At 45.7% G+C, this 24,865-nt stretch overlaps 1 long non-coding RNA gene, 1 other non-coding gene and 1 pseudogene across 2 annotated transcripts, besides 6 other annotated features; 1 reads left to right on the top strand and 2 right to left on the bottom strand.

Annotated features, from left to right (window-relative positions):
* Window positions 1-2,304: 2,304 nt before the first annotated feature.
* LOC124902598 (uncharacterized) lies at window positions 2,305-2,389 on the top strand (annotated as a pseudogene).
* A 6,935-nt stretch (window positions 2,390-9,324) lies between these two features.
* Window positions 9,325-13,927, bottom strand: MIR1915HG (MIR1915 host gene). The gene is made up of 2 exons (NR_160800.1): window positions 13,417-13,927; window positions 9,325-12,612 (listed from the first exon to the last, which is right to left on the bottom strand). It is a non-coding gene; the product is annotated as an MIR1915 host gene (long non-coding RNA).
* Window positions 11,190-11,983: an enhancer, noted in NCBI's record as "H3K27ac-H3K4me1 hESC enhancer chr10:21783452-21784245 (GRCh37/hg19 assembly coordinates)". NCBI's record gives its function as "activates a minimal SCP1, AML or CMV promoter by ChIP-STARR-seq in naive H9 embryonic stem cells {active_cell/tissue: H9 hESC(naive)}" and the evidence as "EXISTENCE:reporter gene assay evidence [ECO:0000049][PMID:30033119]".
* Window positions 11,495-11,594: a silencer, noted in NCBI's record as "silent region_2185". NCBI's record gives its function as "represses an Ori minimal core promoter by ATAC-STARR-seq in GM12878 lymphoblastoid cells {active_cell/tissue: GM12878}" and the evidence as "EXISTENCE:reporter gene assay evidence [ECO:0000049][PMID:35858748]".
* Window positions 12,408-12,847: a silencer, noted in NCBI's record as "silent region_2186". NCBI's record gives its function as "represses an Ori minimal core promoter by ATAC-STARR-seq in GM12878 lymphoblastoid cells {active_cell/tissue: GM12878}" and the evidence as "EXISTENCE:reporter gene assay evidence [ECO:0000049][PMID:35858748]".
* Window positions 12,898-12,947: a silencer, noted in NCBI's record as "silent region_2187". NCBI's record gives its function as "represses an Ori minimal core promoter by ATAC-STARR-seq in GM12878 lymphoblastoid cells {active_cell/tissue: GM12878}" and the evidence as "EXISTENCE:reporter gene assay evidence [ECO:0000049][PMID:35858748]".
* Window positions 13,158-13,407: a silencer, noted in NCBI's record as "silent region_2188". NCBI's record gives its function as "represses an Ori minimal core promoter by ATAC-STARR-seq in GM12878 lymphoblastoid cells {active_cell/tissue: GM12878}" and the evidence as "EXISTENCE:reporter gene assay evidence [ECO:0000049][PMID:35858748]".
* Window positions 13,229-13,308, bottom strand: MIR1915 (microRNA 1915). Its single transcript, NR_031736.1, has one exon. It is a non-coding gene; the product is annotated as a microRNA 1915 (primary transcript).
* Window positions 21,132-21,364: a silencer, noted in NCBI's record as "fragment chr10:21793394-21793626 (GRCh37/hg19 assembly coordinates)". NCBI's record gives its function as "represses an EF-1alpha promoter that drives an FKBP-Casp9 reporter gene in an ReSE screen in K562 erythroleukemia cells {active_cell/tissue: K562}" and the evidence as "EXISTENCE:reporter gene assay evidence [ECO:0000049][PMID:32094911]".

Here is a 24,865-nt window from a genome sequence, read left to right on the forward strand (position 1 = left end):
GCCTGTAGTCCCAGCTATGCAGGAGGCTGAGGCAGGAGAATCAATTGAACCCGGGAGGTAGAGGTTGCAGTGAGCCAAGATCGTGCCTATGCACTCCAGCCTGAGTGAGTCTCAAAAACAAAACAAAACAAAACAACAATAAAAAAAGAATAGCCATATTCAGTGGTTCCTAAAATCATTAAAAATAGAGCCAAGGGCCAGGCACAGTGGCTGATGCCTGTAATCCCAGCACTTTGAGAAGCCAACGAGAGTGGATCACCTGAGGTGAGGAGTTCAAGACCAGCCTGGCCAACATTGTGAAACTCAGTCTCTACTAAAAATACAAAAATTAGCCAAGTGTGGTGGTGTACACCTGTAATGCCAGCTACTTGGAAGGCCGAGGCAGGAGAATCATTTGAACCCGGGAGGCGGAGGTTGCAGTGAACCAAGAGCCACTGTACTCCAGCCTGGATGACAGAGCGAGACTCCACCTCAAAAAAAAAAAAAAAATAATAGAATTACCATACGATGCAGCAATTCCACCTCTGGGTATATACATTAAAAATATAAAAGCAGGAGCATTAACAGATATTTGTATACCCATGTTCCTAGCAGCATTGGTCACAGTAGTCAAAAGGTGGATGCAACTCGAGTGTCTATCAACAGAAGAATGGATACGTAAAAGGTGATATATACATACAATGGAAAACTAATCAGCCTTAAAAGGGAAGACATTTTTTACATGGATTAAGCCTTGAAGGCATTATGCTAAGTGCAATAAGCCAGTCACCAAAGGACACCTGCTGTATAATTCCACTCATATGAGGTATTTAGAGCAATCAAATACATAGAAACAGAAAGTTGAATGGTGGTTGCCAGAAATGGGTGGGAAGGAGGGGATTAAAGAATAGAGAGTTATTGATTAATGGACACAGAGTTTCAGTTTTGCAATATGGAAAGTGTTTTGGAGATGGATGGTGGTAATGGTTGAACAATGATGTGAATGTATTTAATGCCATTGAACTATACACTTAAAAATTCTTAAAATGGTAAATGTAATGTATATTTTACAACAGTTTTTTTCGAGACAGGGTCTCACTCTGTTGCCCAGGCTGGAGTGCAGTGGCGCGATCTCAGTTCCCCAACTGCAACCTCCGCCTCCCAGGTTCAAGCAATTCTTGTGCCTCAGCCTCCTGAGTAGCTGGGACTGCAACCACACGCCACCAGTCTGGGCTAATTTTTGCATTTTTAGTAGAGAAGGGGTCTCACCATGTTGGCCAGGCTGGTCTGGAACTCCTGGCCTCAAGTGATCCACCCAACTCAGCCTCCCAAAGTGCTGGGATTGCAAGCATAAGCCACGGCGCCCAGCCTACAACAAATTTTTTATGACAGGGCCTCACTCTGTCACCTGCTACAGATAAAGCACTCAATAAATATTAATTTCTTTTTTAATTTTTAACATTAAATTTTTATTCTTTCTGTCCTCACAATCTGTTTCCAATATTAGTTTCTTTTAGGTCTTCGCTCTTCCCGATGGTGTGGCAAGCTCAGGCATGGTTCCAGTGTTCTTCAGTGGAGACACTATTGCAATTGGGTTGGATAGTTCTTTTTTTCTTTTTTTGAGTCGGAATTTCACTCTTGTTGCCCAGGCTGGAGTGCAATGGCGTGATCTCGGCAACCTCTGCCTCCCAGGTTCAAGTGATTCTCCTGCCTCAGCCTCCTGAGTAGCTGGGATTACAGGCATGCGCCACCACGCCCGACAAATTTTGTATTTTTAGTGGAGATGGAGTTTCTCCATGTTGGTTAGGCTGGTCTTGAACTCCCGACCTCAGGTGATCCACCCACCTCGGCTTCCCAAAGTGCTGGGATTACAGGTGTGAGCCACCACGCCCAGCTGGATAGTCCTTGATTATGCAGGATTGCCTGTGTGCATTGCTGGACACTTAACAAACTTCACCTTCACCAACTAAATGCCAGTAACATTTCCCAGTCATTTTGACAACTCTAAAACCACCCTATAAGACTGTATTTTCCGCCTGGCGCAGTGGCTCACGCCTGTGATCCCAGCACTTTGGGAGACCAAGGCGGGTGGATCATTTGAGGTCAGGAGTTTGAGACCAGCCTGGCCAACATGGTGAAACCCTGTCTCTACTAAAAATACAAAAATTAGCTGGGTGGTAGTCGTACGCGCCTGTAATCCCAGCTACTCGGAAGGCTGAGGCAGAAGAATCGCTTGAGCCTGAGTGGAGGAAGTTGCAGTGATCCGAGATTGCGCTACTGCACTCCAGTCTGGGAGAGAGTGTGAAATCCTGCCTCAAAAAAAATAAGACTGTATTTTCAGAGCTCATTTCTGTAGTTCATTACTATGGAAGTTTCTGTAAATATATAGAGGTCTACAAAACAAAAAAGTAAAACCACCAGGTGTGGAGATATATATATATACTTTTTGTAAATAATAATTTTTGTAGAGATGGGGCCTTGCTATGTTGCCCAGGCTGGTCTCAAACTCCTGAGCTCAAGTGAGCCTCCCACCTCAGTCTCCCAAGTAGCTGGGACTACAGGTGCATGCCACCATTCCTAGCTAAATTCACTATCTTTTGATATGCATCAACCATGAATGTGGCTAAGACTCTTTGTGTATAGCTTTTTTTTTTAATTGTTGTACGCTGGGCACAGCGGCTCATGACTATAATACCAACTATATACCATGCCTATATACCAAATTTGGGAAGCTGAGGCAGGCAGATCACTTGAGCTCAGGGGTTCAAGACTAACCTGAGCAACATGGCAAAACCCCATCCCTACAAAAAAATACAAAAATTATCTGGGCATGGTGGTGCATGCCTGTAGTCCCAGCTACCAGGAGGCTGAGGCAGTAGGATTGCTTGAGCCTGGAGGTTGAGGCTGCAGTGAGCTGTGATTTGTGTCACTGCACTCCACTCTGGGTACAAAGTGGATCCTGTCTCCAGGGAGAAAAAAAAAAAAAAAGGTGGCAGCACTAGGACTTAAACCCATATCTGCCAAACATCATCTCAAGGGGCCTTCCCTGATCTACTCTAAGGCACCCTCCATGTCTTTCAGCATTCGTATTACATTACTGTTCTTTTTTCACAGCACTTATATCTATTTGATTTGGTGTATTTGTTTATTTGCACTCAGAAGCCCTCTACCAGCATGTATATCACACAGAAGCAGAGATTCAAGGGTTTATTCACAACTGCATGTCCAATGCCCAGAACAATGCCAGGCACATAAAATGAAATTTAAAAAACATTCAGTAAATTATTCTTGAATGAAGGCCAGGCGCAGTGGCTCACGCCTGTAATTCCAGCATTTTGGGAGGCTGAGGTGGGTGGATAACCTGAGGTCAGGAGTTCAAGACCAGCCTGACCAACATGGAGAAACCCCATCTCTACTAAAAATACAAAATTAGCCAGGCATGGCAGTGCATGCCTATAATCCCAGCTACTCAGGAGGCTGAGGCAGGAGAATCGCTTGGACCCGGGAGGCAGAGTTTGTGGTGAGCCAAGACTGAGCCACTGCACTCCAGCCTGGCAACAGAGCGAGGCTCCGTCTCAAAAAGAAAGAAAGAAAGAAAGAAAGAAATTTAAAAAAAAAGAAAATCTCACGTCACAATAACAATCACAGATAACAAACTTGGGCCTGTGGTAGCTTCACATATGCTAACAGGATCTTAACTGAAGCTGTTTAGTTTGGTCCCAATTTATACTTTTTTTTTTTTTTTAAGACAGAGTTTTGCTCTTGTTGCCCAGGCTGGAGTGCAATGGTGTGATCTTGGCTCACCACAACCTCCACCTCTCGGGTTCAAGCGATTCTCCTACCTCAGCCTCCCGAGTAGCTGGGCATGTGCCACTATGCCCAGCTAATTTTTGTATTTTTAGTAGAGATAGGGTTTCACCATGTTGGCCAGGCTGGTCTCAAACTCCTGACCTCAAGTGATCCTCCTGCTTCAGTCTCCCAAAGTGCTGGGATTATAGGCATGAGCCACCGTCCCGGCACAATTTATACTCTTGCTATATCAACAAAATCTCTCTCAACATTTTTTGAGGCTGGAGTGCAGTGGCACAATCTCGGCACTCTGCAACCTTCACCTCCTAGGTTCAAGCGATTCTCCCACCTCAGCCTCCTGAGTAGCTGGGATTACAGGTACAAGCCACCACGCTTGGCTTGTTTTTGTATTTTTAGTAAAGACAGGGTTTCATCATGTTGGCTGGTCTCGAACTCCTGACCTCAAGTGATCTGCCCGCCTAAGCCTCTCAAAGTGCTGGGATTACAGGAGTGAGCCATCGGGCCCGGCCTCTCTCAACTTTAGATGATTGTAGTAGTTGCAAGCATGGATACCTATTGATGTGTAACAAGCCACTCCAAAGCTTAGTGGCTTAGAACAACAACAACTTCTTATTTCTCATGATTCTGTTGGCTGTATGGTTCTGCTGATTGGGTGGGGTCTCATGCATGTAGCTCCCAGTGGGTGTGCTGGGTGCTGGACTCCTCTCGCCTCGTGATCCTTCATCCCAAGCTTCTTTGTGGCATGGTGTTTCTAGAAGACAAAGATGGAAGCTGCAAAAGCTCCTTGGGGTCTAGATTCCAGAACCTGTGCAACATACTTACTTCCGCAATATCCCATAAGCCAAAGCAACTGGCAAGACCAGGCCACATTCCAAGGGATGGAGAAGATTCCACTTCTGGGTGGGAAAAGTAGCAAAGTCACATTGCAAAGGGCTATGCATTCTGGAAGTGGAGGAACTTGTGGCGGCTAAAACAACTGTTGGGCATTATATTATTTTTAGAGTCCAGACAAATGTAAGTATAATTAATGATACAATTTTGATTTCTAAAGCATTAAGGAAAGCAGTATTCAAATAAACAGGGCCAGGCATTGTGGTTTATGCTTGTAATCCCAGCACTTTGGGAGGCTGAGTATCACTTGGGATACTCATCATTTGGGAGGTGGGAGTATCACTTGAAGACAGGAATTCAAGATCAGCATGGGCAAAATAGTGAGACCCCATCGCTGTAAATTTTTAAAAATTAACTAGGTGTGGTGGCTCATGCCTGTAGTTCTAACCACTCCAGAAGCTGAGACAAGAGGATCATTTGAGCCCAGGAGTTCAGGGTTACAATGAGCTATGACCACATCATCATACTGCAGCCTGGGTGACCATGAGACCTTGTTGCAAAAACAAAACAAAACAAAAAAACAAAGCTTCTCTCAAATTATAAGGTTGTTATAAACATCTCCAAAAGTTTATCCTTTTCTTTACACATACACACACCACGCATAATTCTCACTCATCATCAGCCATGTAATTTTTCGTTCTTTTTAATATAGAAACTTTATTTCCCTCTTTCTAGTTTGCTATGGCAGTACTTTCTTCAGTCTTGTACCTAAGTTTCCTACTTATTTTGGCCACTTGCCACCTAGAATATTAAGTTCCCTGAGACATGCTGTCAAAGGCAACACTCCTGGAACTGCCTATTGCATTTTTTTTCCACGTTTGTTGGGAAGAGCAAGACTCCCACGGGGCAAAGCAATCTCCTTTGAATCGAGCAGGGAAAAAAAAAAAACTGGTAAGCACTGGACTCTGACAAGCAGCTGCTGGTAAAGTCTACAGAACTACTTTTAAGTGGCTGGGTGGGCATTAACTTTTCACGGGGCTTTTTTTGTTGTTGTTACTCAATGATTTTGGGAGTCAGCAGATATTTTGTAACAACTAAAAACTACCTAAATTCATTCTGAAAAATAGTCTTCCATTTTTGGTTTAATCAGCAAAAAAAATTCAAACTGCTTCCTTTTTTTTTTTCCTTTGGAGACAGACAGGGTCTCAGTCTGTCATCCAGGCTGGCTTGAGTGCAGTGGTGTGATCACGGCTCACTACAGCACAGCCTCAGCCACCTGGGCTCAAGGTATCCTCCCACCTCAGCCTTGTGAATAGCTGGGACCACAAGCGTGCACCACCACGCCTGGCTAATATATATATATTTTTTATTTTTTGTAGAGATGGGGGTTTCCCTGTGTTACGTAGGCTGGTTTCAAACTCCTGGGCTCAAGCAATCCTCCTGACTCTGCCTCCTAAGTGCTGGGTTTACAGGCATGCCCCACCTAAACTGTTTCCTTCATCTACTTTTAGCTATTTATTAAATAACTAGAATAGGCTACGTTTAAGTTCCAAGTTACAAAAATTGTTAAAGAGAGCATTTATTTTACATCCTAAAAATACTGAGATCTTATGTTGTAGACAAAAGAAGCTAAAAATCTGGTGCAACAAGATGAATACAGAATAAGAAAAGAATTAACTAAAGTAAGTAAGCTTTCTGAATTGTCCATAAATAGTTCTAATTTGAATTACTGCCTATGCCAGAACATTACCTCTGAGATTTTATGATTGCTGTATCTGCTACTATTAACTAATAACATTTGCTCGCAAGGAAATAAAACACATACAAGGAAAATTGACACCAAAATAGTAAGTTGACAAATCTTCCATTAAAAAGGAAAATAGAAAACATAATTCTATGAAAAATTATGGAGAATTTAAATTTATTTTAATTTTTCAATTAAGTCAAATATTCTGTGTCTCACAGAAATTTTTTCTATTTCTCACTAGAAATTTTACCTTTTTGTTTTTTAAGATACTATGTTTTGCTCTGTAGCCCAGGCTGGAGTATAGTGGCACAATCATAGCTCACTGCAGCCTCAAACTCCTGGGCTTAAGCAATTCTCTTGCCTTAGCCTCCCAAAGTGCTGGGATTACAGGCATAAGCCAGTGTGCCCCACCCAGAAATTTTAAAATTCTTAAAATGTGTAATCAATTATTTCATGAAGCTATTGAATATTTTCATATAAAGAACATACCACGATCAATACATTGATTGATTTCCAATCAATTTACTTAATTTATGGAAGGTCATTATGTTGATGTACATAAATGTATATGTGTATTATGAATCAAATTTATTTGAAATCCTCCTGTATAGAATAAATTACGAACTTTTAGATGACATGCGTATTTTTCCCATTCTCCTTAATATATTGGGCCGAATTGTTCATCTAAGTAAAGTTGATTTTGCTTTTTTGTGGTCATTGTTTTTTCTATTTTTACTTACATAGTCAGATGCTAAGTTTTAAGCTTTTGAATAGTATGTCTGTCTGATATATCACTTCTTCCAGGAGCCTCCCCAAGAGCACTATAAATCTGCAAAGAGAGGGAAGTATGGGCAAATGAATAAGAAAAATGTTAAGGAAAGAATCCTTGCTAAACATTGCCACAATTTAATATTTCACATTTAAATTATTCTCATCATGTTATTTCCAAAGTTTGCTCATTAGATTTTCACTTGCCTTGATGACCTTAATTAGACTTGTTCCAGATTTATGACAACTGTAAAATTAGGAAATTTTCATTCAAAAAAAAAAAATTAAAACCCTCTGGATGGTTTTCCAAAGCACATGCAGCATTACTTAAGACTATGATTTTCAGCTAGTTGGATATATCATATCTACAGCTCTAGCCAGGTCTGTAAGAATTCTGTGACTGAGGCCTAATGGAACCAATTTTCACTCTGGCAGAACAAATTCAAGTTCTAATACGAACTTGAATTCCAGTTTCCTTTGGATGCCAGGAATCAGATCCTTTAAGAGGAAATTGTATCAGCGCTTCTGCCTATTAAGTGATATTCCATATATTTCATCTAAATAGCTAGCAGGAACAACTGACTCAAGTCAAATCTAAAACAGAAAACAAATGATTTTTTAATTACTGAAATTGTTTTATTATTATTTTAAAATACTAGTCATGGGCAGTTATTCTGTTGGTGGTGGTGGTGGGTTTTTTTGTTTTTGTTTGTTTGTTTTAGCCTTTTCCTTTCAGGGCCTCAATTTTCTGCAAACTTCACTTACCTTGACTGTGGACCACTGACCTTCTTTAAACAGGAACCAATGTATTCACTCACCTACACTAACAATCATATTACAGTCACAGGCCATTAACTGTCACTCACATTTTTATTACCCTGCATCTGATGAACATTGATACACTTGGGTGTCTTCCTCTGCACTGGAAAAAAAATAATTTAGATAGAATTCTAAAAGTTAGCATGTTTCGTCAATAGCTTCACTGTTCCTCATGCCCATTCATCACATCTTGCTTGCTATTGAAATCCTCCCTTGCTTTGTAACATTATTAAAGTCAGTCATTATTAAAGTCGTCTCAAAAAGAGACACCTCTGCAACTTCTAAGATGTTGTCAACCAGGAATCATATTTTCAATACTTCAAATTCTATTGCATTTTCAAGCTTTGGAAACAAATATAATATTCTTGCATATTTTCTAAGATGAAATTTCATGTAGACAATGATGTGATAGAAAGGATGATGCTTATCTAATGATTTTGGCATTGCCCCTTGATAACTATGACACTGAGAAAACCAGCATTGGTTTTCCTATTATCAGAACAAATTACAGTGCATGTTCTGGAGTCCTACATATCTTACATTTGAGAGAGAAAAATCACTGGGAAAAAAAAAGGTAATAGTTATATTTGTATCCATCTAGTTTCACTAACATATCTTTAAGGTACAGATTTTTTATAATAATCACATATGGCTGGGCGCGGTGGCGCATGCCTGTAATCCTAGCACTTTGGGAAGCCGAGGCGGGTGGATCACGAGATCAGGAATTCAAGACCAGCCTGGCCAATATGGTGAAAACCCGTCTCTACTAAAAACACAAAAAAATTAGCCGGGTGTGGTGGCGAGTGCCTGTAGTCCCAGCTACTCAGGAAGCTGAGGCAGAAGAATCCCTTGAACCCAGGAGGCAGAGGTTGCAGTGAGCCAAGATTGTGCCACTGCACTCCAGCCTGGGTGACAGAGTGAAATTCCATCTCAAAAAAAAAAAAAAAACCATATGATTTTATAAGACCAACTTAAGGGATTCTTATATTGCTTTAGTTTTATTTTTCACAAAAACTAGATTTAATTCAAGCTTCATGAAAAGGCCAAAAAAACACACAAATAATTTCATAGTTCCTAATTTTCCAACCCTTCCTTCAGTAGGCATTGCAGGTCATTCGAACCAGATAGTTTAAATTTTTCATGGTGCAGCTAAGTGAATAAGCATCCCTCCACAGAATGCATGCACTGTTGTATCATTTTCAATTAATATGAAATAGTTTTGCCAAAATATGACTGTAAATGCAAAGCTGCTATTCTGAACATTTGGAACAACTATAGCTCATTTTTCATTATGCGTTGATGTTTTGGTATAAAAATACTGTTTAAGCAGTTCATGAATACTCTTTTCCATTTAATCACAAAGAAATACATTCAGAGTGAACATGATCGTTTTATTGGTTACCAAAGATCCTTGGCAAAGTGCACGCATGGTGAAGAACAAAAGTAAGTCCTCAACAGTTTCCCAACTTCAATGAAAACTTAATGGGCCTAGATTTACAGATTACACATTAAAAAAAGTTTGTGCATGATGTATCTGCTGTGTGTGTATTCATATGTGGGAAATAAAGCAAGCCACAGAGAAAATGGGTGGGGGGCACAACTGCAAAAAGTTATCTCTCCTAGGAGATTTATTATTGGGAAATGCAGAAACAGAGAATTCAGCACTCTTCTTTCTGGTGACAATACAATGCTAGAAAAAAAACTAATTTTTTTAAATAATTTACCATAGAATCTCTTGTCTTAGACTAGAAGGAATACAATCCCTGTTACATGTGTATATATGTCCAGGTGTAACACACATTTTTCTCTTCTGAAATTCTTGTCTCAAATCTCTTTCAATCAAAATGAGTTGAGCTTCAAACAGGATCTGGGTGAGTCAGAACCTTTTTAAAATTGTGCTCAACCCAGTGAATGCTTTAAAACTGAATTAATGAGTAGTATCCTAAAATGCAAAAGCATGCTCCAAGACTGACTGCCTCTCTACATTTTGATTCTGAAAGAAAGTGCTTGGACTTTTAAAGAACAAAGAAGAAAAGCCTTCATTTTCCTTCCCTCCCTTCCTCTCTACAATTTAACCAAGCAATTTTTTCTAGGTTCTTTTGTTTTAATATAAGAACAATAAGGCCGGGTGGTTGCTCACGCCTGTAATCCCAGCACCTAGGGAGGCTGAGGTGGGCGGATCACAAGGTCAGGAGTTCGAGACCATCCTGGCTAACATGGTGAAACCCCATCTCTACTAAAAGTAAAAAAAAAAATTAGCTGGTCATGGTGGCGGCTGCCTGTAGTCCCAGCTACTCAGGAGGCTGAGGTAGGAGAATTGCTTGAACCGGGGAGGTGGAGGTTGCAGTTAGCCAAGATGGCGCCACTGTACTCCAGCCTGGACAACAGGGCGAGACTCCATCTCAAAAAAAAAAAAAAAAAAAAAAGAACAATAAAGCTCTTCTGTCTTTCTTCTCTCTTCTTCTCCTCTTTCTATCTCCAGGACCACAAATTTGACTAAAAATAATTGTCCATATGGAATCCTTAATGTATCAACATAGGAAGGAGACACCCACTATCCCAAGACTCAGCCCACCTGGCCTAGATGGGCCTAGATTTAGAGTAAGCATTACAGGCTGATTAAGTTTGGTGCATGGTTTATCGGGTGAGCGTTCCCCACCCCACTTCTTGCAACTTTGCTTGCTCATCTAGGGGTTCCCGGAGGGCCCCCAACACCCCCTAGCAGGGCGCGAGGTAAGTGGAGAGTTTGCCCGGGTGCTGGGTGATGTGCCCAGCAACTTCTGCTTTTTCCCCTGGGGAAAACTGTGACATTCGAAAGGTGTCTGCAAGTGTTTCTTCTGGTTGGCCTGGAAGTTTCCCGAGTCCCTGGACTGGCGACCCAAACTCCTACACTTCCTGCCCGGTGCTGGGAAGAAACCCAGATCAGCAGACAAATCAACCACACCCTGAGCCCCAACATCGAGCTCCAACATGTGCCTTTCCCGCCGAACGAGAAAGCGCGGACCCCTTGCAAGCAGCATATAGCCTCGGCGTGACCCGTGGAGAGGCGGGACCCCAGTGGAGAGAGAAGCACGGAGAAGCCTGGGAAGGAGCTTGGTAAGAGGGGCACAGTCCAGGCTGCCCCATGCGCGCTGGGGTTGTCGCCGCGCCTCCTGCGCGCCCCAGTGCCCCCAGAATCTCCAAGAAAGCAATCGTGAGCGCGGATCAGTTTCTGTCTTTCCCAGAAAGCGGGCTTTTTATTGAGGGGAAACTTAGCTGGGAAAAGTCAGCTCGTACGTTTGTTTTGGTTTTTCGTCTATTTGCTTCCCAATTTAAAAGTGGCCGCCTAGGCGACAGGCCTGCGGTTTTCACAGTGTAAAACGGATCAGAGGGAAAGCTCCAGCCCCTCTCGACTTTCGCTTGCGGTTTGCAACCCCTGGGGTGGGTCTGACCCCGCGCGGCACTTGCCCAGGCGAGCTTCCCTCGTCGCGGCCCGACCCGCGCGCGGACTCGGCTTCCCCAGGTCAGGACCCACTAGGTGGGCCGCTCGGCCCCAAGCCTGGCAGGGCGGAGCCTAGGCCGCGCGCCCCGGGGTTGGAGGTTCCCACGGAGCCGGGAAACTGCGCGCCCCAGGTCCGCAGGCCGCCTCCCTTCCCTCGCGCCCTCGCACCCGCCCTCTGCTCTGCCGCTCCCGGTCCTGGGTGTGCGGGAGTCCCGGGGGTCCCTCTCCTGGACGCAGAGGAGGAATTTGGAGCAAAAGGAAGGGAATTTACTGCGGATGGCACCGGAACCTGAATTGACTTGTGCGTTTCCTGCTCTGGGCACGTAGGTTTCCCCTAGGAATCTGGAGTTCGCTGAGGACACTTAATTCCAAGAGATGATGGGTTCACATAAACATACCATTTAGTTAAGAAAAATATTTAAAATAAAGAAAAAAGAAAAACTGAACTTCGATCTTCTTCTCCACGTTCCCTGGTGTCACCAAATAAACAAAGCATTCGGACGAGAGTGGGCTGCTGGGGGCTCGGGAGGTGCGCGAGACAAGGTTACCCTGCGGGTCCGCCACTGCCCCCGGCCTCCAGCACTGCACTGCCCACGAGTTTGCGGGGTGTGAGCGCCGAAGGAGAACCCCGGACCGCCCAGTCTCAGCCTAAAAACTTGGATCCAAGAGTCCTACGGTTGTGGATGTGCCAGTCCTCCGCGACCCTTTCCTGCTGGCCTTCTGCTTTTTATAAACGAAAATAAAAGTTTGATTTAGGCTTAAAGAAATGTCATTCTGGTCGTTCCTCCCTGAAGCGGGACTTACTCAACCTCATATACTCGCCCGGAATTTTCAATCTCGCCTGTCGAAATCGCTAGCTGCGCATCCGCGGAAGAAGTCCTGGATGAGAGGTAGGGTGAAGGGATCAAGCAGATAGCAGCAGGCATCAGCACACTCCGGCCGTTCCGGACGGTCAGGCCCGCCGCTACAGGGAGAAGTGCGGCGGATGGAGCCAGGGCTGCGGGTTGCGCGCGGGCTGGGAACCCGGTGGTGCCACCTTAAGAGTCGGGTCCGCGCAGCGGCTGCGGAGGCGCCCGGCACCTGCAGGGGGCGCTGCTGCCCCGTGGTTTCTCCCGCGCCGCCGCGTGCAGCGGGCCTGGCAGCTCCGGGGCCCCGGTCCCCGGAGGGGGTGGGGACGCTGGGGGAGGAAGGGAGCGAAGTGCAGCCGTTAGGTAACGAACCCGAACCCTCCCGGATTCAGAAGCGGCCTCAGTGAGGCGTTTGCTGGAGGGAGCTTTCCATCATTCGGCCGCGAGAGGAAACGTGGGGAGGCGCCCTCCCCTGCCCCCACCGCCTGCCTTCCTGCCTCCCTCCACCTCCGCTCCCCGACCCCGACCGTGCTTCCCAGACCCTTTGTTCTCGAGGTTGGGAACGGCTGGGTGGGGGTTCCCCGGGGAAGAGGTCCCCCGCGCCGCTCGGAGGGGAAGGGACTGTCGCCTGCCCCGCACCCCAGCCCTCCCCAGTGCCGTCCCCCTTTCCCCCGGCCCCTTCCATCGCGTCCACGCGCTTCCGTTCTCACTCGGACTCCCCCAACTCCCGAGCTCCGGCTCCCCAGCCTGCACGGTCTGCAAGCCCGCCTCCCTTCCCACTTCCCCGCCACCTCTGAGGTCCCCGGGAAGAGGGGAGGAGAGGGAGACGTGTGGGGGAGGAGAAACCACAGAGCCTTCTCGGCGCGGAGCATTCCCAGGGACCCTTCCAGGCCCCGACCCCTGGGACCCGCTGCAGAGGCAGGGCTTTCCCGGCGCCGCCGCAGGTCGCTAGGGCCGCCCCCGCCGCGTCGCCCTGGGGCCCACGGGTGCACGGCCCGGGCAGCAAGGCAAGGTGCGGCCTCTCAGCGCCAGGACCCGAGACCCCCAGCTGGAGAGAAGGGGACACCGTGGTCCGCGCCCTGGGGAGGCTAATTGCACACGAACGCCCCCCTCTTCCCCGCCCCCCACCGTACCCTCTGCAGCGCCACCCGCGTCGCCTCTCCGCCGTGCGCCACCCTGAGGGCTCCCGCGATTGCATCTTCTTGAGCACAGTTACCAATGCGTTCAGCTTCGTTTCTTACTCGGATGGAGACATCGCGGAGGGAAGCGAGGGGACAGGGATGCGGTAGTAGGGGAAAGGTGGGGCGGGAAACCGAGCAGAGAGGTGGGAGACTTGGCTGAGGCAATGGCACCAGGCAGGGCCGCCCGGAGTCCCGAGTCCAGGTCCGCGAGGCAGGCCCCGGTGCAGCCGCGCCCCGGCCGAACCCTACATGTCCTCTGTACTGTGGACACGAGTCCGCGGAGCGCCAGTCACACCCCCGCACCCCTGCAAGCTCCCGCCGTAGAGGGGGCTCGGCACCATCCTGGTCACAAAGTACGTGCCCCCACCCCCCACCCCCAGGTGAAGAGGACGCAGCCCGGCGCCGTCAGCTCCAGGCTGCCTGGAGCCCCCTCCGGCCTCTCGGCGCGACCCTGGTCCTCAATGGCTCGTCGCGAGCTGCGCTAGCTGCTCTCTCGGCAGCGGGTTCCCCAGGACACACCCAGTCCCCACCCCCCGAGAGCTGGCGGCCAGCTCAGGATGCCAGGCGGCCAGGCGGGCGCCCTGCCAAATTCCGCGTTCCTCTCCAGGAGACGGGGAGTTGCGTCCCAGGCTCGGGAAAGCCCGCAGTTCGGGCTTGGGACTCGCTTACAAAGCCCCCCAAGGCGCCAGGGACGCCTCTGCAGGTTGAATTCCTGCTCCGTATCACTTCAATTTTAATTAATCTTTTAAAACACCGCTGTCACGTCGCTTGCAGAAAATTAATCAAACTTGAATCCTTGTTGCATAGCAAGAATTTCGATCCGAGTCTTTTAAAAAGGACTTGACTTTGCAAAGTCACGTCTTTTACAGTTCCCTCATTCCCCCTTTAGCAAGGGAAATACTGCAAAAGTCAAGACATGTTTGTTTGGTTCTTTCTATCTTCAAAATGAAACTTTGCTTATTTCTGATCTTTATTTTCCTGTCTTTGAACAAAAAAAAATAACGAGATAAATTGCCTACCTCGATTAATTCAAAGTATAATTACTTTGAATGATCTTTGTTTAAGAGCCCAGATAAACTAAGATAATCTTAATTTTAATGTGACACGACCCCTATTTTTCCTTGTGAATAATGAGAATAAAGCAGTCATTAATTAATACCAAGATATCTCCATAGAAGATGGTATCTGTTCTCGCTGAGACACTGAAACATCAGTTGTATTAGTAATTGATACTGTATAATTGAACATGAAGATAGCCGTCTATTTTTAACCTCCAAGCTCAGAGTTTATTTGGTGATTATTGAGCTCCTAATAATTAATTTTTTTCCTTCTTACTGCATAAATAATTCTTACGACTCCCAGTTCCCATGCAATGCAGAGGCTTCTCATTAAAACCTACCCCTCAAAATATAAGATTGTGAAGCTATATTGTGCAGCAACTCCTTCTATTTCATTATTTGTAACATATTTCCTCTATTTCATATCTTCCTGGTGCATTTCCTTTGCTGTGATTTTCCTACTAAATCTATGAGAATATAACTATAACATCTTTTACCATAGCTTTGTCTTTCTGTGATCTCTTGGTTCAGTTTAATACACAATACTTAAGACTTCAATTTTTCAAGTTACTAAAATTTGAGGATGAGTTCCACTGAAGAATCAAAAATACTTGTATAGTGAAGTTGCCATGGATTATATTCCCAACCTAACACACAGTCCACTTTAACTCACACTTTTCTGTTGTTAAAAATAGACTTTGCTCAAACACATTCCCTTTTTCCAACTTGAGTTGAAGAGAGTTCTCACAATTTCCTGGGTTAAATGTACATGCTAACACAACCTTTGACATTAAAAAACAAATTCCCCTCCCGCGTTGGAGAGAAGTCTTCCAAACAGTCATGGAAATTTAGACTGTAGCTTTAAGGTATCTAATTATTTCTTAGCCTCAGTTATTTTGGGGCATCAGAATGATCTTCACTTTTTAAGTGGAAATGGTTATGATATTTTTCTCATACATACAAAAAACTCTCTACTTATTTTTCCAATAAAGTGTCTCCCAAGTATGACATGTTGTATACCACACAAATATTCTTAGTACCTCCGCTACCAAATCCATGCATTTTCCCTGTCAGTGCTCTATCTAAAATTCTGGAAAGTATAGAGGGTTTCCACTTTTATTTCCCCCTTAGTACAATTAAAACTTTAGGTCAATATATAACGGAGTGATTCTCTGCACTTGGATTTTATATTTTCCCACTATAATTTGGACTGGAATGGGATTAAAACAGCATCTAGAGTTCTAATCTTGGTTGATGTTTTGGTGTATTCACCGTAATGAGTCCTATTCTCTGGGGTCATGAAGCTCCCAAATGTCAATCAAGCAAACAGATTCAGAAATGCCATTGTTCGACTCCCACGTCACTCGCCTTCCTCTCATTTTATTTAACAATACCGGAGTTCTCTGATCAGTCATTCGGAATATGAGGCATTATCTGGGGAAAATTCACAAAGTGTCTTGATCTTTCTTTGGGAGATACTGTTAAGGGGTTTCCGCAAAGCATAAAGTGCTTGTTTATATTTCTGTCTTTGGACCGCACTGTGGATGGAAAGAACCAATGAATACTGCTTGAAAGGAAATCATACCGTAAATCCGTCAAAAATTAATTCGTCCAGTTGAATGTTACATTTCTATTTTCTGTTTTCGTGTTGGAAGCACCCTGATTTGTCACCAGAGGAGAAGTATGACCAGGTCTGGGTCCAGTTGACATGCCCCCACGTTCAACCCTGTCTATTTTCACCACTTAATACTATTAATGTGTTTAGTCTAAACTAGTTAACTAAGAATTTATTTGGGGGCGAGGAAGAGCCAACCTTTGCCCTGGGAGTTCTACCCAGCCCACTCAGCTACGTCCGGGAGCCTCCGCAACTCGCATTTCCCAGTCGCAACCCTGGGTCATTCCTGCCTCCGTCCCAGCTCCCGGACAATTCCCAAAGCCAAAGGCGTCGAGCGTGTTACTGGCTCCCACCAGCCCAAATTAATAATCAGCTTAACTCGTGGAGGCTTTGAGCCCCAGTGCTCCGTTCCCTGAAGCCTCCCAGTGCGGAGCCCGGCTCCTGCGAGGACATCCTTGGAGGGGGGCCGGGGCGCAGGGACGGATTTCCTGGGAAAAATTGTCGCTGGCGTGTTGCACCTAGAGGGCTGTGGGCAAGGAGGCACGCACCAATGTCCCAGTTCTGGGCTCTCAGATCGGGATTCCTCCAAAATCGCGACAGCCGCTCAGGTGCTGGGTGCTCACGTTGGCAGCACAGAGCGCCAAATGCACGACCCCGCGCGCCGCGCGCGACCTCCACGCACACTTAGAGCCGAGGTGACAAGGGAAGGCGGCGGGGGTGGAGCCGCTCTCTGGTGGAGCATGATCAATCACTTTAAAGGGTTCAAAAGTTCCAAGTTCCCCTTTGGAGGGGAGAGGTAATGCTTCCCGCGGCCTGCTTCTCTCTGAGACCCGCGGGTTCCCGGCAGCCGCGCAACCACTGGGGATCTCGGCTGCCGCTTGCGGGAGCCCCTTCCGGGGAACACGCTCTCCGGGCCGCGCAGCCGGGCGAGGTTGACGCAGCTGCTAGGGGGCAGTTTGGCTTCCCCGGGAGTACCGGAGTCGCTCGGCAAAAACGTGATCTCAGCCTGCAGGGCCCGGGGCGCGCGCTTTTCCCTTTCTCAGCAAGCGGGAAAGGCCTGTTGGCAGAGGCCGGCGGAGTGCTGGCGGCCTGGCGGCTGGAGGCTTCGGCGGAAACCTGAGCTCCCTGCGACCTGTTCTGCTAGCAGGGGCGGGGGAGAGCCCCAATAAGCCGCCCCAGAGGCGGACCGTGCAAATTCCTAAGAAAAAGCCCTCTAGAAAACACCAAGCCCTTCCAAAAGCCGTGGCTCTGCCCCTCCCCCGTCCTGCGGCCTTCCATCCTGGCCCCTCGCATCACCCAGCCGGCCCTCACCTGCTACCTGGCCAAGGGCCTAGCCACCCCTCTGCGTCCCCGCCCCTGCTTTTAAGCTCCTTCTCCCCCTGACCTTTCTGAGGCCTGGGCGAGGGTAGCCAGGGTGCTGCAGAGGAAATGAAATTGTTCTGGAGATTACAGTGGGGCTTTGGGCCAGAAGGGTTTTTCCCCTTCTTTTTCTCAAGCTTCCATGTTAAGTGCAAACTTGTATCTCCCGTCACAAGAATAGCCAAATTTTCTCGCTTATTTGCAGTTTTGCAAAGTTCTACACACAGATCAGTGAACCTTAAGCGCCCTTGTTCAGCCCCACATTGTGGAGGTTTGTCAGGGTCCCTGGGCAGTGAGCGTAATGACAGGTGAATCCAGCAGCCCCAGGGGGAGCCCGACCTAACCCCAGGACTTACAATAGGCCAGGGGGCCAGAGGCTCCCCACACAGCTTCCAGCAACAGGTACTCTACACCAGGGCAGGCCTACAGGGTCCTTCGGCTTAGGCACTGCCCCTAGAAACTGCTTCAGTGACCTGGGACAGAGAGGCCCCACCCACATGTCTTCCCCCAAGGAGATTCCTTCTCTCCAAATTACCCCTCGGTCACACAAGAACAAGAATCTCTGCGCTCTGTGCCACCTGTCCAGACACAGCCAGGCCTTGTTTCAGCTGCAGCAGAGGCCCTCACAATGTAAGCCCATTGGTGCTTTCAACCTGCTTGTTCTTCTGACATGATTTAAAATAAAGAAGAGGAGGAGGAGGGAAGGCAGAAGAAGAAGCAGGGAAGAGGAGGATGGGGGGTGGGGAGGAAGAGGAGCAGGGGAGATGCAGAATAAAAGATGGCCAAAGGGGATCAGCACAAAATGGAACAACTCCTTTCTTATCCAAATTGCCCCATAACTCAGTCTTTCCCACACTCTAAAAGAGGGATAACTGGTTTCAATAACTATTAATACTTTCTCGAAGTAACTTTTTTGAGTGAATTTTACTCTTGCACCTGACTGGAACCGACCTACCCCTCTCCCCAACCTGAAGAGAGGAATGGGCCATGTACCTTTGGGGAGATAAATAGCTTTATAAGGCATAATAGCCTCCCTGTAGCCAGTCATCACTCCACAGAAAGCCAGGGAGATTCAAGCTGTGAGAACCCAGGTGCTTTGTTGCATAACCAATCTCAGCCTTAATCCAGCCAAGGTCAGCCCACATTAGATTCCCAAGAAATGGGCTTAAGGTTCCTCCTCCTGTCTGGACCATTCACAGGTAAGGAGATCCTCACAGAGAAATACATCTAGTACTTACAACCAAACTCCAAGTGGGAGCAAGTCATCATTGTGATGAGAGTAGAAGACCATGGCAGAGAAGGGAGGAGGTGTAGATATGTGTAAAGAGAGAGAGAGACATGTTTGCTTTTGCCCAACTCTACAGTTCTAGCCTGACTCAGTCCATCCTCACTCAACCACCAGGGTAAAATAGAAATCAGCCTCTGGGTTATCAGAGAGAGAGTAGTGGTTGTGTGTGTATGTGTTGGGGGATGGGGGTTGTTGCTTTCTCCAACCCCAGGCTAGTGTATAGGGAACGATATCACAGATAGGAAAAGATGGAGTAGAGGGAAAGAGAGGCTGGAGGAGAACTACAGCCTACAGTCACTCTGAGGAACTCATCCTCATTAAAGAAATCCTTTCTATGATGCTGCATGTCTTCCTCAGATTTGTGGCAGCCACACTGAAGGAGGAGGCAGCTGCAGGAGCTGCCGCTGCTGCATGCAGGCATCCAACAGTGTGTCCCTAGCAGCCGACTTGGTGTCCCCAGTGTGAAGAGCCCAGGCTTTGCCCATTAGGCTGTGACTGAAAACAATCCCCCTGCTCCAAGCAGCTTCCACAGTGACTACCCCAAATCCCTAAACAGATTCCTGGACTGAGAGAATACAGTTCATAGCATGAATGTCTAAGAGCGGGATTCAGTTAAAACAAAAAAAAAGATAACAGAAAATCCCACCCAATTCTGAAATCACTAATGAAATCATGTGTGGTAGTGGGTATTTGTCCCTGCATGGATTACAGTTTCATACTTTTGTCCCTAGAATGACATTTCAAAAATATTCTCCCCTATGTAGCACCAAAGGCTGTTTTTATGGCCTGCTATTGTGAATCAACCTTCTGTAAACCATATTGTGCATTTTCCCCTGGATTTTAGTGAAAGAAGAATTGTGCCAATGCAACTGCTTTGTCCCAGCGCTGAAACAAAGACTAATACACGGGAAAGAGGCAGCCTCTGCAAAATGTACTCGTCTCTGATTTGGGAGGAAAGCTCCTAGAGTGACCAGCCCATAATTGTGGTTGATATTTAATCCCCCTTGGTACAAAGGCTCATCTTTTCACTAAGCAGAAGCACCATTGAGATACGCCTAACCTTTAGGGTTATATCCCAAATGGGGAGTCCAGGGCCTACGCTTGGATTATCTAGGTCTCTTCTATTTTGTAAAAATATACACAAAAAAGCATTCCTCACAACAAAGCATTCCTAATCACTTCAGCTTCTTGGTGGATTTTTATTCCTGTGTCCACTTGGGGTATTGAAATCGATCGCTGCAATATTTAATATATTACACTCCTAGGGTCATCCCTCTCCTAAGACCGAATTCTCTCCCTCATGCCCTCAACTCAGCCCAGTTTCTATCCTCCCACTACCATCTGTCCAGGTCCTCTGTTTATCTGTCCACATAACGCCTTTAATTCTCAGCCCAGCCAGACAACTTCACGTTTATTCTGTTTTCTTCTGTTATGGAAAATGCTGAAAGCTGTAGGCAACAGTGCACTTAAAAGGGAAAATGAGGAGCTCAGTAGATTGGATAAAATTAACCTGCCACAAACAACCTCATTAAAGAACTGCCTACCAAGAGTTAAGAATTAATAGCAAAATGGATGGGAAAAAACCCTTCAGTGAAGAGACCTTAAACCTCTTTCCCTGAAAGGTGCATAATTTACAAGCCCAACCTAACATTCAGTTTTATTTCCCTTTCCTAGTGACCTGTCCCATAACCTTGTAATCCACTGCGGGGGTGTTTTCTCTTTTGTCCCTTTCTTCTGGTTACACACCCATAAGTTTGCAAGCCCAAATATTTTCTGATATTTTTGGTTCAAAAATGCACTTAAATTATTTGGAGCCTTTTAATTTAGAAAGACACTTTAAGAGACTCCTGGAATACCCTTTGGGAATTGTTAGATGATTTGAAGAGTGCCCTTAAAAGAACTGTGTTTGGATAGGAGGGGGCTGAGGGAATCATGCATAAAGAAGCATGAAAAACCAGAGTGAGGACATTTTGTAGATTTAGTGTTCTGATGGCACTGTGGTTTATTTTGCACATGAAGTTCAAATTTAAGTAAAGCCCATGTATATGGGCTGTAAGTTGCTTTTCTAATGTTTTATTGGGCAGTGTATTCTATATTGGCATTTTATATGCATAATCTCATTTCAATGCAGAGCCGCATACTAAATCCTGGAGCAAGCAGATGAGAATGCTATATGGATATTACACTCAATTTCATTGGCTTCAATGAGACTTTGCACATCGCGATTTCCATTGTAATGGCTTATCTTTGGCTAGAATTTTACACATTGACATGCTATTCCTTTGGCCAGGATCCTGAATGAAGAAACCATGTCAATGGAACAGCCATAATGATTCCATTCACATTATAGCAGGTAACTGGGATCAATGGTTCTAACAGAATTTATAAAAGACTTCCTGCTTCTCTTTTTCTTTTCTTTTCTTTCTTTTTTTTTTTTTTTTTTTTTTTTTTGAGACAGAGTCTCACTCTGTCGCCCAGGCTGGAGTGCAGTGGCACGATCTCGGCTCACTGCAACCTCCGCCTCCCAGGTTCAAGCGTTTCTCCTGCCTCAGCCTCCCGGGGAGCTGGGACTTCAGGCGCCCGCCACCATGCTGGGCTAATTTTTGTATTTTTAGTAGAGATGGAGTTTCAACATGTTGGCCACGGTGATCTCGAACCCCTGACCTCAAGTGATCTTCCCGCCTCCTCGGCCTCCCAAAGTGCTGGGATTACAGCATGAGCCACCGTGCCCGGCCTTCTCTGTTTCTTAATATTATTTTTTTGCACTTTTTTTTTTCCTGAAGGAGATCACAGTTAAAATCAATCTTGGAGTATACACTAAAGTAGTGGTTCAAAACAGGAAAAGATAGGAAATTCACAATCAGGATGCTTCCAATTCATCTAGAGATCCTTCTGTTGTGTCAGGATATTATATGTAGTGCCTTCATGTGTGGTAGGATCAGATCCTATTCAGATAAACCAGTTAGAGACTCACAGAAAGGACAAAATTTTAGAAATACTTGTAACCTTCTTAAGTCTACAAAATAAGTTATATTTCTTTCCCACTTAAGTTCTACAAAATAAGTTGTTTTTCTCCTGTTTAACAGTAATCTTAAATTACAAACACAGACTGAAATATATAAGATAATAAGAAATGTTGGCCATATTAGAGAAAGTAGATGTTTCAGAGGTAATTTCTTTAAAGGAGATGATAGAAGTGTGTAACTAATTTCCTAATTTACTTTTAAATTTATGGTGCATAAAGATGTAAAAGGATAAAAAACACAAGAATTAAAATATTTTCATTATTTTCTTAAAGTCATGAGCAGCAAAACAATTGAACAATTTGAATGTTAACCAAGATCTTCCGCTTAAAAATCTTCCTTATTTAGGAAAGGGGGGAAAAATCCCACCTCTCTTTTTAAAATCAGATAAGAAACATTCCGGTAGTAGTGATGTACACCCTTTTAATTCTTAATCATAAATGTTTAAGTTTGTTTTAAAAGTCTTTATTATTAACAGAAAAAATAAAAATTGGCTTCCTAAAGGCCAATTTGCCACATGATGTATAACACTGGGAACAAAATTAAAAGCATCTCTTTACATTTGCATCTGGCAATGTGCTCCATGTTAGAACCATAGCCATGTGTTTATGGAGTGCAGCTCTCCTGGTCTTGAGATACATGCTGTTTTTTATAGCCTAACCAGAATAGCTCAGCACATGCAGGGCAAGAGGCTGCAAAGCCCTGGCCCCTCACCCCAGCAAGGAAGCTCAGGATCACTGCAGGCTCCCACACTGCTTCTCTCAGCACTGGTGTAAGTCCAGATCTTACCCTCTTTCCACTTCTGGAGCAAATATTATGAAATATGGGTATTTCCCAACATAGCCTTCACCTGGGTGCAAGGGTTAGGTAGGGGGAAGGGAAGAAGGGGAAAAGCTGAGAGACTGGGAGGAGAGAGAAAACAGAAGATACAGGGAAAAGGGGAGAAAGGTAAATAAACCTGTTCAAGGCAATTCCCACCGTATCATGCAGGTTTGACTTTGAATGGATAGGATAACTAGACATCTGAAAGCTTAACCAGCTACTGGTCTGCATATTTGGACCCAACGTAGAGGAAGAAAACGAATCTCAGACATTTGCACCACTGACAGTCAGGGTATTCATTTGAAGGGAGGCGGGGGGAGGAAAGAAAGAGATGAGAGAATGAATGTAAAATGTGTCTTTATTCCTGAATATCCAAGAATCTAGGCCCTTGCAGAGACTGAAACCCCTGCCTACTGACCAAGTGGTAGCCTTCAGATCTCTCATATATCTAACTTTCACAGAAAAGGGGGAGGAGGTCAGCTGCCTCCACTCAGAGCAGCCTCTCTTCCACACGGTGTTTCCTTTCTACTGCTCATCACTTACCACAAGTATTGCGTTTTTCCTGGAGCCAACTTAAACTGATCTTAAAGAGGGCAAGCACTAACAACAGAAATTCCATTTTAACCTCTTGTGCCCTACATGTGCTTCTCCCAGCCTCCAGAATTCTGAGTTTATTTGTTTGTTTGTTTGTTTTGGTGGCTTGAGGAAAAGGAGAGTAAGCTGCCACTCAGATGGTTTCTCTTTTTTTTCTTTTCCCTCCCTTCCTTCCGTGCACTGGGGCTGGAGAAGGCCTTTGCAGAGCTGCCCTCTGCTAGCCTGGTGATATTTTAGGGTCTAAGTCAACTGACTGCTGAGCGTTTTCCATGCAAAAAGGGTCCAACACAAACGTGTTGATGGTAGTGATTAGATGAATAACTGCATCTTACTGGAAGGCCTCTAGACTGCCTGCTACTATCTCTCCACCTTTTTCTTTCTTGTTTCAGTTATCTACCCTGAAGGAAGATCCAGACAGCAGGAATTAAGGAATCAGGGACACTCTGGCATCCTAGGTACTTGGGTTGTTTCCCATATATTCTTTTTAGACTATATACATACACATCTGTGGGCAGCAATCTCTTCTGATTCTCTTTTGGAATCCCTCCCACCCCCCACATACACACCTCTCTGGCCTTAAACATTTCTTGCAACAAGGGGACAACCACTGCCCTTTCCTGCCCCGCCCCCGCCCCCCACACACACCCGGTTAGGCACCAGTCGCCCCGCAGCCATGGCCGCAGCCGGAAAAGAATAGAGAGCTCGCTGTGCTGCAATCCAAGCCGCTCAGCTCTGGGCGAAGAAGACATCGTGGGAGCTAAGCAGTGGCACAGGATAGGGCTGTTCCCTGACCAATAAAGCATTTATTCAGCTGAGCAAACGTTTTCGGAGCACCCAGCATGGCACTGCTAGGTGCTGCTGTTCGGTCCCAGGAAAATAAAGGGAGATGGCAGTCCGCAAGGCGAATGTGAGAGGAGACCTGTACGGAAGCCATCGACAAGAGTTTCACACTACACGTTTTGGGGTCGTGTTTTTCCAAGCAAACCCGAGTGATCTTTAGGGAAAGCCAAATACACTAGACGAAAACATCCTGTTATGAGAGGCAGGGACGGTGGAAGCACAGCTATCTGAGAGTGCGTTAATCAGTCAGGATAGGGGCTTGGAAGCCCAGGGCTTGAATTTGGTGAATTCGTGCAATTTGGAGCATTTCGACTTAGTATTGATCCCTAAACTCAATTTTGAAAACAGCCTCCATTGCAGAAGTGTGGGTTGTGTTATCCCAGTATTTGCATGCATCGATTGGACTAAAATAAAATGCATCATACTCTCTGCAAAGAAGGAAGAGGCAGGGACAATCACAAGAGGAATAGCAGAAAGTGCATAGTTAATATGGGTTGTACGCGAATCCGTGAAACAAGTGCCTTAAACCCAGGGGGATTTCACGTAATAGCTAATTTGGTGAGAGCTAGCGCGCAAGCAAGCAGAGGGCCATCTTAGAAGGGAAGGAAGATAGCTGAATATAGGCTTTTCCTACTGGAATTAACATTTCCTTGTGATTTGCATTAGCTAATGTCTAAACCCTCACATGCAGCCCACCTAACCCAGGTTTTCTTCTACGCTTGTAGGCTCAGTAAGGAATTGTCTTCCTTCTAACTGCACTGCCAGAGCTCAGGGGCTGCGGAGAGGCGGCTGCTGCTTTTCC

The sequence above is a fragment of the Homo sapiens genome, chromosome 10, assembly GCF_000001405.40.
Source record: "Homo sapiens chromosome 10, GRCh38.p14 Primary Assembly".
Lineage (NCBI taxonomy): Eukaryota > Metazoa > Chordata > Mammalia > Primates > Hominidae > Homo > Homo sapiens.